At 48.9% G+C, this 10,967-nt stretch overlaps 1 protein-coding gene across 15 annotated transcripts in view; it reads right to left on the bottom strand.

Moving 5' to 3' along the window:
• The window catches only part of MROH2A (maestro heat like repeat family member 2A), a 57,695-nt gene continuing 48,407 nt past the window's right edge, over window positions 1,680-10,967 (bottom strand). For 14 of the 15 annotated variants that reach the window (XM_024452842.2, NM_001367507.1, XM_011511076.3 and 11 more), the window contains 7 exons: window positions 6,319-6,468; window positions 6,026-6,208; window positions 5,323-5,478; window positions 3,558-3,689; window positions 2,819-2,921; window positions 2,454-2,519; window positions 1,680-1,960 (listed from right to left, as the gene is read on the bottom strand). In XM_024452842.2, the coding sequence (XP_024308610.1) occupies window positions 1,839-1,960; window positions 2,454-2,519; window positions 2,819-2,921; window positions 3,558-3,689; window positions 5,323-5,478; window positions 6,026-6,208; window positions 6,319-6,468 (912 nt within the window). In that variant the 3' untranslated portion in view covers window positions 1,680-1,838. Of the gene's footprint in view, window positions 1,961-2,453; window positions 2,594-2,818; window positions 2,922-3,557; window positions 3,690-5,322; window positions 5,479-6,025; window positions 6,209-6,318; window positions 6,469-10,967 lie in introns of those variants that run through there. The other variant, XM_024452845.1, reaches the window with a different exon arrangement.

The following is a 10,967-nucleotide window of genomic DNA, read 5'->3' as shown; positions in this document are numbered from 1 at the left end:
CACATGTAATTGTTAGGGGGTGGGGGCCTAGTGGCAGGTTTTTGGGTCATGGGAGTGGACACCCCATGAATAGATGAATGCCCTCTTGAAGGAGTGAGTTCTCACTCTCTGTGAGAGCGGGTTGCCTTTGCACCTGCCCACTCACCTTTCTGCTTTTCCACTGTGTCTCGAGATAGCACAAGGCCCTCACCAGAAACCAAGCAGATGCCAACATCATGCTCTTGGACTTTCCAGCCACCAGAATTAGGAGCTAAACAAACCTTTTCTGTATAAATTACCCAGCCTTGGGTATTCTGTTTTAGCAACGCTAAACATACTAAGGCAGATAACTTCCTCCTTTTTTCTGGCTTCTGCTGTTACTTTTAAAAGAAAAACTACCATACTCTCAGGATAAAAAAAATACTGTACTGTCTTAAATTTTGCTCTCTCCATTTAGGTCTATAAACCATCTGGAAATGTTTCTGCACAGGCATGGAAGGAGAGCCAATTGTACAGATGTACAGCTGCCTCCTTGTACTCTATCGAATGGTGCACTCTCCCCACTGCATCAGTGGTGTTCAAGCTTGTTTAGCAGCAATACTCTTTATCACTGGGCAGGAAATCAAGTCACCATTTGCTCCACAAAACAGTTTGAAGACCACTGTTCCAGAGAAGGCTTTAGCACGGGTTGGATTTTGGACAGCATAGCAGCTCTCTCCTGTTGATGGGACCCCGGATGGTGAATTCCTTTGGCAGTTGGACTGGGAACAGTTTGGAAGTCCTGGTTTACCTGCTCTGGGGACACCTAGACTATTCTGATGGCCTGAGCATAGCAAAAGCCTTCCCCACACTGCCCCTCTCTTCCCCTACATGTTCTTAGACATGGGGCTAATTTCTCCTTTTTGACCAGCAGCCAAATTCTGTTCCAGGCCTCACTGGGCTCCAGTTGCAACAGTCCAAACTTAACTTTGGTAACTTTAAGTCGCAAAGGGAAGGGCCTGGAATAAATGTCAGTTCCTCCATGCGGCCTTTCTGGATTGTCTCCAGACTTGCACACCCACCCTCCTGTGCCACTGTAGCACTTGCACCCTGGCTGCAGTCCTCCCTCTGATGTGTGTTGTGGTTAGGTGCCTTTCCCTTTAAGAAGTGTCCTGGCCTGGCACGGTGGCTCACGCCTGTAATCCCAACACTTTGGAAGGCCAAGGTGGGTGGATCACGAGGTCAGGAGTTTGAGACCAGCCTGGCCAACATGGTGAAACCCCATCTCTACTAAAAATACAAAAATTAGCTGGGCGTGGTGCTGCGCACCTGGGCTGAGGCAGGAGAATCACTTGAACCCAGGAGGTGGAGGTTGCAATGAGCCGAGATTGCGCCACTACACTCCAGCCTGGGCGACAGGGCAAGACTCCATCTCAAAAAAAAAAAAAAAAAAAAAAGAAGAGTCCCTGGAGACAGATGGGACACTCTAGGCCTCCCCTCACCGCTTGGCACAGTGCCTGGCCTTAGGCACGCTGTCAGCATGCGTGTGGATGAACTCCGAGTGAAGACACAAAGCTAGTTTCCGACCCTTTGGGCCAGTGGGCTGTCAGACAAACGTACTTGGGGGGAAATCGGAAATGAAGTGGCTCATTAAGGCCAAAGTTCCCTTTGCCTCATTGTCTTGGTTCTGGGCTGTCACCACCTTACAGTCACAAGTCTACTCCAACGACAGTGGAGGTTTATTTCAACGGAAGGAAACAAAAGGATACTAGTTATTTTACAATAGTGTTTTTCCTACAAACTAAACTTCTTACAAACTAAATTAAAAAGGGCTTGCATTTGGCACTAAGAAGACAGTTTACGTCTTATGTTTGGACCACCTAGGACATTCCTTGGGGTGAAGCCAGAAACCCATGCTGACTACAGCTATCCAAGACTGTGAGCGTCTCCAGGGCTGCCCTCCTGACCCCGGGATCCGGGTCCAGCTGTAGTTCCTGGAGGGCTGAGAGAGAACACAAAGAGGGAAGGTTCAGGCCCCGCCCAGTCAGGACCACATGCTGCATGCCCTGGGCAGTGATGGCAGGCAAGGGCCGCAGAAGGTGGGCAGGGGCAGACGGGGAAACTCCTGTGTGGGAAAGCAGAGGACTGCAGGTGGAGCTGTTTCAACACACATCATAGCTCTCAGGGCTTCAGTAACCACCCTAACAGGGACAGAAATCACCCACAGAACCTGATAGCAGCATCAGGCCAAAAGCATTTCATAAGAAGCTATGAATGGGAGAAACAGCCCAGGGAATGAAAGGGACTCCACCCATCAATAGCTGTCGTCCTGGAAAGGCCTCCCCAGGTGCATCTCTCTGCCCTGGTTGCACTCCCACCCCCCCGAAACCCCACAGCAAAGGGTCCTCTGGCTCTTCCCTTGAAGCAGTTTCTCTAAGCTCCCCTAGTGAGTTGGTGAGTCGTGGACTCAACATCTAACACTCTCCACTACTCACAATTCCGTAATGCTGGGAAGTCCAGCTTTTTCAGATAATGTGTAGACATCTGCTTCATAATAATTCCTAAAACAATAGCCAAAGAAATGCTCATCACGCGAGTATTAGGTCAGCAGGCAAGTCGTCCTGTGGTTTACTTACTTTACGTTATGAGAGCATTGATGAAAGATTTTGTTGAGCCCACGTTGGCAGGGAGGAAGCCAAAATCAAAACGGGATAGAAAGCACAGTGCAGGGCTTAGACCTGAGCTCTGGTCTCAGCTTGCCACATGCCTCCCACTCATGATCCACCCTTCCCCCGAGTGCCGGGGTGGACTAGAGGGCCTTCAAAGTCTATCTTGAGTCAGGAGACGTCTCTCTGCTCACCTGCCAAGTTGCAAGCAGCGATTCTGATTCTTGACAAGTTATTTTTAACATAGGCCATTGTTTCTAGCAAGAAGCGGTAGAGAACAGCCGGCTTTTTCCGAGTCTGCAAAAAGTAAGTGATACACACAGCTTTGGAGGATGAGACCCTGACAATGGGCTGTCATTCATCAAGCGTGTTCCCATCACCAAGATGCATCAGAGAGGGCAAGCGCCCATCCCAGCGTCACACAGCAGGTGAGTAGCTGGCAAGTGAAGGACCACTGGCCACCAGTTATATTTTTCATATCCCATCTGACCAGAGAACCTGTGCTGTCCAACATGGTAGCCACAAGCCATGTGTAACCCTGCAGCACTTCAAGTGTGGCTGGTCTGAATTAAGGTAAAGTGCCCCCTGGGTTTTAAGATGGTACCCCAAAAATTGTAAAATATCACAATAATAGTTTTTATACTGATTACATGTTGAAATGATCATGTTTTAGTTATTTGAGTGAAATAAAATACATGAAAATTAGTTTCACCTCTGCACTTTTCTGGATGTGCCTACTAAAAGAAACATCAGACAGCTGAAATAGGCACATGACTTGCCTTCTATTTCTGCTGCACAGTGCCGGTCTCGACATGGCATGTGTGGAAGGTAAACATAGGGCCCCAAGAAAGAGCTGTGGCAATCTCGACCCCCCAGCTCCAAGCCAGCGTGTGGCCACCTGGGACGGGCTGGTTCCCCCTTTGGCTTCCTCACCAGGATGGAGCACATGGTTGTCTGGAAAACGGTCATCTTGTCATCAGTAGCGGTATCACTTGGCCCTGAGGGATGCTCCAGGGACTTCCAGCCCCAGAAGTGCACACACTGAAACATGGTAGCCATACAGGCCTGCAGGGACACAGGACGGCAGCAGAGCCATCAGCCAGGCCACGTGGTTCCCCAGAGGGGTGAGGCTGGCAGGAAGCCAGAGGGCAGCCCCAGAAAAGCCTCACCAAGCCAAAGAAAGGCAGGGCTGGTGGCTCCTGGGAGGCCACCTGGGACCTGGGCCCCTGCCAGCTTGAACATGGCTGCAGGTACATTTATAGAAAGCCCCTTGGGGGCAGATGCAGCCCCACCCGCCCCCTCAGCCAGCACCTTCGTGCCCTCAGCAGCCCTGCCTGGGACCCAGCCCTCCATGGGATCAGAGGCGGGAGCCGGGCTTGAGCAGGCAAGACTGGGCACGTGTCCTCACCTCCCAGGCCCAGTCCACCAGCATCTGCCTGTGACCAAGCCTGCTGGCCACAGCTTCTGGAGACGGCAGGGCAGGAAGACAAAATGCTTCTGTCTCGGTAGCCCTTTCCTCACTCTCGGTCACCATTGCTGGGTGCACCCTGGTTCCTTCCCTGAAGCCCCCCCACCCCACTGGACAGTTGTCGATAAAACATGGAAGAACAGTGTGGGCTGAAGACAGAGGGTGGTGAGGACTGGCAAGGAAAAGGAGCCTCTGGGCAGTGACACCTTGTGCCCAGGGTGGCCAGGGATGGTGTGGCAGAGGGATGTGGCAAAGTCCAGAAGCTGGGGTGGTGAGTGCAAAGCCCAGGTCTAGGGAGTGTGCATCTCAATCCCCCTCACTGCCTGTAAGGGCCACCTGGGCCATCCCACCTGGGCCACCAGGGCCATCCCACCTGGGCCACCTGGGCCATCCCACCTGGGCCACCCAGGCCATCTGGGCCACCCGCTCCACCCCACCTGGAAACTGCTGCCCTCATAGTGACAGTACTTGTCCTGTGACCCCAGAGCTGGAGTCCAAGGCACCTGCTGAAAATGACCATTGCATTTCTTTCATGTTAGGCCAGCTGCGTCCCAAGGCTTACTAGGCGGGGGCAGAACCTCCCCAAATCAGCCACCTCCCCACTTCCTGACCCCACCCCCCAAGTCTGTAAGCAGAGACTAGGGAGAGAAGAGGGCGGTCAAGGTCATGGGCCATGCAGGGAGTGAGGATCCTGAGGTCCCCAGCCAGCCGGGGTTAGCCTGAGAGGCAGCAACTCAAATGAGAAGGCACATTTACTAACAAATCTGTCTCTCCCTCTCCTCCTGCCCCAAAGCAACAGAGGAGCTGGGCTGTGGAGAGGGAGAAGCCAGGCCCGCTCCCATCCCAACATGGGCCTGCAGGCAGTGGACAAGACCACTTTGGGGTATTTTGAGTCCTAATACTCAAAAGTGACCTGCCAGTTACAGAATCTGCTAGAAGAAAGGGTTTGGGCAGAGGAGGGCTATAGGCAGCCACCACACCATGTCCCCCGACACGGGGCTGAGACTGCTTAGTGAGGTGGCTTTGCAGGTCATCTCGGATGGCCTCTCTCCTCAGCCTGTGTGAGGGATGGAGGACAGCAGGGAGCAGGCTGTGGCCTCTGGGATCTCAGAGAAAACCAACTGAGGCAGAGAAAAGCTTGCAGCTCACCGAGCCAGCAGACCCAAGGACCTGTTTCCTCGGGGAACAGCGGGCCCCAGACTGGGACACAAAGCCCAGGATGTATCTTACTTGGGCTGCATTGGAGCAGGGGTCCTGGGAGTGCAGCATGAGGGGGATCCAGGCCTTCTTCACCTCCCCTTTGAAGAAATGCTTCTTGGACATCCCGACCACCCTTGCCAGCTTTCCAAAGAGGATGAAGGCTTTCAGACGCAGCAGCTCGCTCTCCTGTGGCCAGGATGGACACAGGCTGACATGCAGGCAGCAGGAAGCCCAGCAAAACCCCAGCCATTCTCCAAGGAATACCCAATGCCTTGGTCCCTGCAGAGCCTTCTGGATCATTCCGTCAGGGTGTAGTCTCTCCTTTGGCAGGGATCACGTAGCCCTCAAGGGGCTGGGCATTGCTCTGGTCTTTGTGCCCGCCTCTTCCCTGGGTGAGGGCTTGTGCAGGATCTGAGTGCACAGCCCTGCCTAGCAGAGGCCCAGGGTGACACAGGTGCCCTGGGGGTATTTGTAGCTGCAAGGAATAAAAGGGGGAGACCCTTCCCTCCTAGCAGGGCTGCAGAGGCCCAGGAGCCGTCACTTGACAGCACTGATTCTCTGGAACTTAGAAGAATACCTTTTACTTCACAAGATCCCGTGATCAGCCAGTCGCTAAACTGACACCCAGCAGGAGCCTCGGCTCTTTTCTGCTCTAGAGCCCATCTCTTCCTTAGGGTCTGAGAAGTGCCCCTCCTTCACTGAGCAAGCTCAGGGAGGCTCTCATCGGACTCACGTTGTCGAAGAAGATCCTGCACTGCTCAGACATGGCGTCGAAAGAGGACCCCACATCCCCTTCCCGGAGCTCAGCCAGGATCTTGGTCAGGGCCTCCATGCCCTCGGCAGTCACGCTGTTGCTCACGGGCTCCCTCAGGGGGCCCAGGCACTTCTCCAGCAAGACCTTCCGGTACTGCTTCACCTGGAGGGGCATGGGCAGCCCTCAGCCTGCACCCTCCCTCCCAGGCTGACCAGGGCACCCGGCCTGCACCCTCAGCTCCCGGGACCTGGGCCCAGGGCCAGGCACAGTACCTTCTTGGGGGCGCCCAGGGCCATGTTGCCGAGGGCGCGCAGGGACAGCACCCGCAGGGCCTCGTCTTCCTCCTGGTCGGCACCCTTCTCCAGCAGCAAAGCTGCCGGCTTCAGCAGCTTCTCCTGGTACAGAACTGGGCCGCTCATGAACTGGAAGGGAGGACATTGGGCAGTTATCCCCAGGGCGGGCTCATTTCTCAGCAGCAAGGTGGGACGTGGGAGGAGAGGTAATGCAGATTGGTGGCTCTGTGGACAGGAGGGGAGGGGCTCTGAGAGCCTCCGTTTCCTCTCTATAAAAAGCGGGTGATGCTAGTACCTGCCTCAGGGTCTGTGTGGGGATTTAATAAGGAAATATGGGGGGAATGCTAGATAAGTGTTACGTATATATATAAATTCGTCATTTATTTTTTCAGGTAACATAACAGCCACTGCCAAATGCAAGAGCCACGCCCACCTGCATCTGAACAGAAAGGCACAAAAAACATGAATTTCACTTTCAGGAGAATTACTAATGGCCTAGTATTCTGAGTGCCAAAACCTCACTGGTATGCGTGTGGGTGCATGCATGTGTGTACATGTGTGTACATGTGTGCATGCAAGTACCTGAGTATGTTTGAAAGAGGCCTGAAAACTAAACACCAAATTGGTGAGTCCAGGGACAGGAGAAATGAGCATCTATTGACTATCCCCACATCTAGTTCCTTAAACCCCCATTAGGCGCAGTTGCTCTAAGCTTCCAAATGTTTTGTCTCCACCTCAGTCCACCTCCAGCCTGTCCCAGACACCAACATCAGCAATCACAGGAGCTTCCTACAGCACTTCCATTCATTTAAACATATACTGAGCACCTATTCAGGGCCAGGTAGAGCAGTGAATACAACGATCACAACCTATTTTAAATGCTCTTCAGGGAAAATTCCTGAAGAGTAAAGCCCCCACACTATTGTCAGCAAGCATTAAAAAAAAATCATTTATAATCCATCCCTATCAAATTTGAAGAATTTAAATAGCTTGCTTCTTAAACCTGAACCTAATTTTTTTTTTAATTTTTATTTTTAGTTCTGGGGTACATGTGCAGGAAGTGCAAGCTTGTTACATAGGTAGACGTGTGTCATAGTGGTTTGCTGCACCTATCGACCCATCACCGAGTTATTAAGCCCAGCATGCATTAGCTGTTTTTCCTAATACTCTCTCTTCCCCCACCCCACTCCCAACAGGCCCAGTGTGTGTTGGTCCTCTCCCTGTGTCCATGTGATCTCATTGTTCAGCTCCCACTTATAAGTGAGAACATGTGGTGTTTGGTTTCTGTTCCTGTATTAGTTTGCTGAGGATAATGACTTCCAGCTTCATCCATGTCCCTGCAAAGGACATGATCTCATTCCTTTTTATGGCTGCATAGTATTCCATGGTGTATATGTACCTCATTTTCTTTATCCAGTGTATCATTGATGGGCATTTGGGTTGATTCCATGTCTTTGTTATTGTGAATAGTGCTACAATGAACATACACATGCATATATCTTTGTAATAGAATGATTATATTCCTTTGGGTATATGCCCAGTAATGGGATTGCTGGGTCAGATGGTATTTTTGGTTCTAGATCTTTGAGGAATCACCACACCGTCTTCCACAATGGTTGAACTAATTTACATTCCCACCAACAGTGTAAAAGTGTTCCTATTTCTCTGCAACCTTGCCAGCATCTGTTGTTTCTTGACTTTTTAATAATGGCCATTCTGACTGGCATGATATGGTATCTCCTTGTGGTTTTGATTTGCATTTACCTAATGATCAGTGATATTTAGCTTTTTTTCATATGTTTATTCGCTGCATGAGTGTCTTCTTTGAGAAGGGTCTGTTCATGTCCTTTGCCCACTTTCTAATAGGATTGTTTGTTTTTTTCTTGTAAATTTGTTTGAGTTCCTTGTAGATTCTGGATATTAGACCTTTTTTGAATGGATAAATTGCAAAGATTTTCTTCAACTCTGTAGGTTGCCTGTTCACTCTGATGATAGTCTCTTTTGCTGTGCAGAAGCTCCTTAGTTTAATTAGATCCCAATTGTCAATTTTTGCTTTTGTTGCAATTGCTGTTGGTGATTTTATCATGAAATGTTTGTCCATGCCCATGTCCTGAATGGTATTGCCTAGATTTTCTTCTAGGGTTTTTATAGTTTTGGGTTTTACATTTAAGTCTTTAATCCATCTTGAGTTAATTTTTGCATAATGTGTGAGAAAGGGGTCCAGTTTCAATTTTCTGCAAATGGATAGCCAGTTCTCCCAGCACTATTTTTTAAATATGGAATCCTTTCCCCATTGCTTGTTTTTGTCAGGTTTGTCCAAGATCAGTTGCCTGTAGATGTGCCATCTTATTTCTGAGTTCTCTATTCTGTTCCATTGGTCTGTGTATCTGTTTTTGTACCAGTACCATGCTGTTTTGGTTACTGTAGCCTTATAGTATAGTTTGAAGTCCAGTAGGGTGATGCCTCCAGCTTTGTTCTTTTTGCTTAGAATTGTCTTGGCTATACAGGCTGAATTCTACAAGAAATACAAAGAGGTGGTCGGGCGTGGTGGCTCACGCCTGTAATCCCAGCACTTTGGGAGGCCGAGGCGGGCAAATCACAAGGTCAAGAGATCGAGACCATCCTGGCCAACATGGTGAAACCCTATCTCTACTAAAAATACAAAAATTAGCTGGGTGTGGTGGCACATGCCTACAGTCCCAGCTACTCGAAAGGCTGAGGCAGGAGAATTGCTTGAACCCGGGAGGTGGAGGTTGCAGTGAGCTGAGATCACGCCATTGCACTCCAGCCTGGCGACAGAGCAAGACCCTGTCTCAAAAAAAAAAAAAAAAAAAAAAGGAAAAAGAAACACAAAGAGGTGTTTATACCATTTCTTCTGAAACTATTCCAAACCATTGAAAAGGAAGGACACCTCCCTAACTCATTCTATGAGGTCAGCATCATCCTGATACCAAAACCAGGCAGAGATACAACAAAAAAAAGAAAACTTCAGGCCAATATCCCTGATGAACATCGATGCAAAAATTCTCAATAAAATACTGGCAAACTGAATCCAGCAGCATATCAAAAAGCTCATCCACCACGATCAAGTAGCCTTCATTCCCAGGATGCAAGGCTAGTTCAACATATGTAAATCAATAAACGTAATTCATCACATAAACAGACCTAAAGACAAAACCACATGATTATCTCAATAGGTGCAGAAAAGGCCTTCAATAAAATTCAACATCCCTTCATGTTAAAAACTCCCAACAAACTAGGTATTGAAGTACCTCAAAATAATAAGAGCCATTTATGACAAACCCACAACCAATATCATACTGAATGGGCAAAAGCCGGAAGCATTCCCTTTGAAAATCGGCACAAGACAAGGATGCCCTCTCTCACCACTCCTACTCAACATAGTATTGGAAGTTCCGGCCAGGGCAATCAGGCAAGAGAAAGAAATAAAGCGTATTCAAATAGGAAGGGAGGAAGTAAAAATGTCTTTGTTTGCAGATGACATGATCCTATATCTAGAAAACCCCATTGTCTCAGCCCAAAAACTTCTTAAGCTGATAAACAACTTCAACAAAGTCTCAGGATACAAAATCAATCTGCAGAAGTCACAAGCATTCCTACACACTAACAACAGGCAAGCAGAGAGCCAAATCATGAACTCCCATTCACAATTGCTACAAAGAGAATAAAATACCTAGGAATATAGTTAACAAGGGAAGTGAGGGGCCTCTTCAAAGGAGAACTACAAACCTCTGCTCAAAGAAACCAGAGAGTACACAAACAAATGGAAAAATATTCCATGCTCATGGATAGGAAGAATCAGTATCATGCAAATGACCATACTGCCCAAAGTAATGTATAGATTCAATGCTATTCCCATTAAACTACCATTGACATTCTTCACAGAATTAGAAAAAAATTATTTTAAAATTCATATGGAACCAAAAAAGCTGAACCTAATTTTTAAACTGCCATAATTAGCTAGCATTTAATGAGCACTTACCTCCCAAGCAAGCAATGCATACACGGTCTATCTCATTTAGCTCTCACCAAAGCCCTGAAAAGAAGGCACTGCTTTCCCCAGTTGGGCAGATGGAGAGCTTGAAGCTCAGAGACGCTAAGTAACTTCATCTCCAGCCAATCAGCAACTGAGCGGAGGCTCTTAACCAGGCCCTCGGATTCCAGCACCTGCGCCTGGCCCTGTGTGGCTTCCAGCCGCTGAAAATTCCAAACTCAGGCACATCAAAGGACAGGTCCTGGGTGAGACAACGAGGGAGCACTTCTCCTTCCCATCCTCATTTTGAAGATTTACAGAGGCCTGAACACAGGGAGGGGCCTGAAGAACCTATAAAAGCTTGGTGAGTACCTCCCAGACTGGTCTTGTACTTCCAGGAGCTTTTGTACAGCCCACTGCCAAAACTCATTTTCCCATTTTTAAGTGTTGGGGAAAAGAAATATAGAAAAGAAAATTCTATGGCACATGAAAATTCCATGAAGTTTAAATTCCAGTGTCCATCAATAAGGTTTTGTTGACACCGTCATGCCCACTGGTTGACTTATTGGCTGTGGCTGTTTTCCTGCTACAGCTTAGTTGGCCACAAAGCCAAAAATTTACTCTGCAGTCCTTT

This window comes from Homo sapiens, chromosome 2, assembly GCF_000001405.40.
Source record: "Homo sapiens chromosome 2, GRCh38.p14 Primary Assembly".
In the NCBI taxonomy this organism is placed as follows: Eukaryota; Metazoa; Chordata; class Mammalia; order Primates; family Hominidae; genus Homo; species Homo sapiens.
The sequence above is the reverse complement of the archived record's forward strand: the minus strand, read 5'-3'. Positions and strand labels throughout refer to the sequence as shown.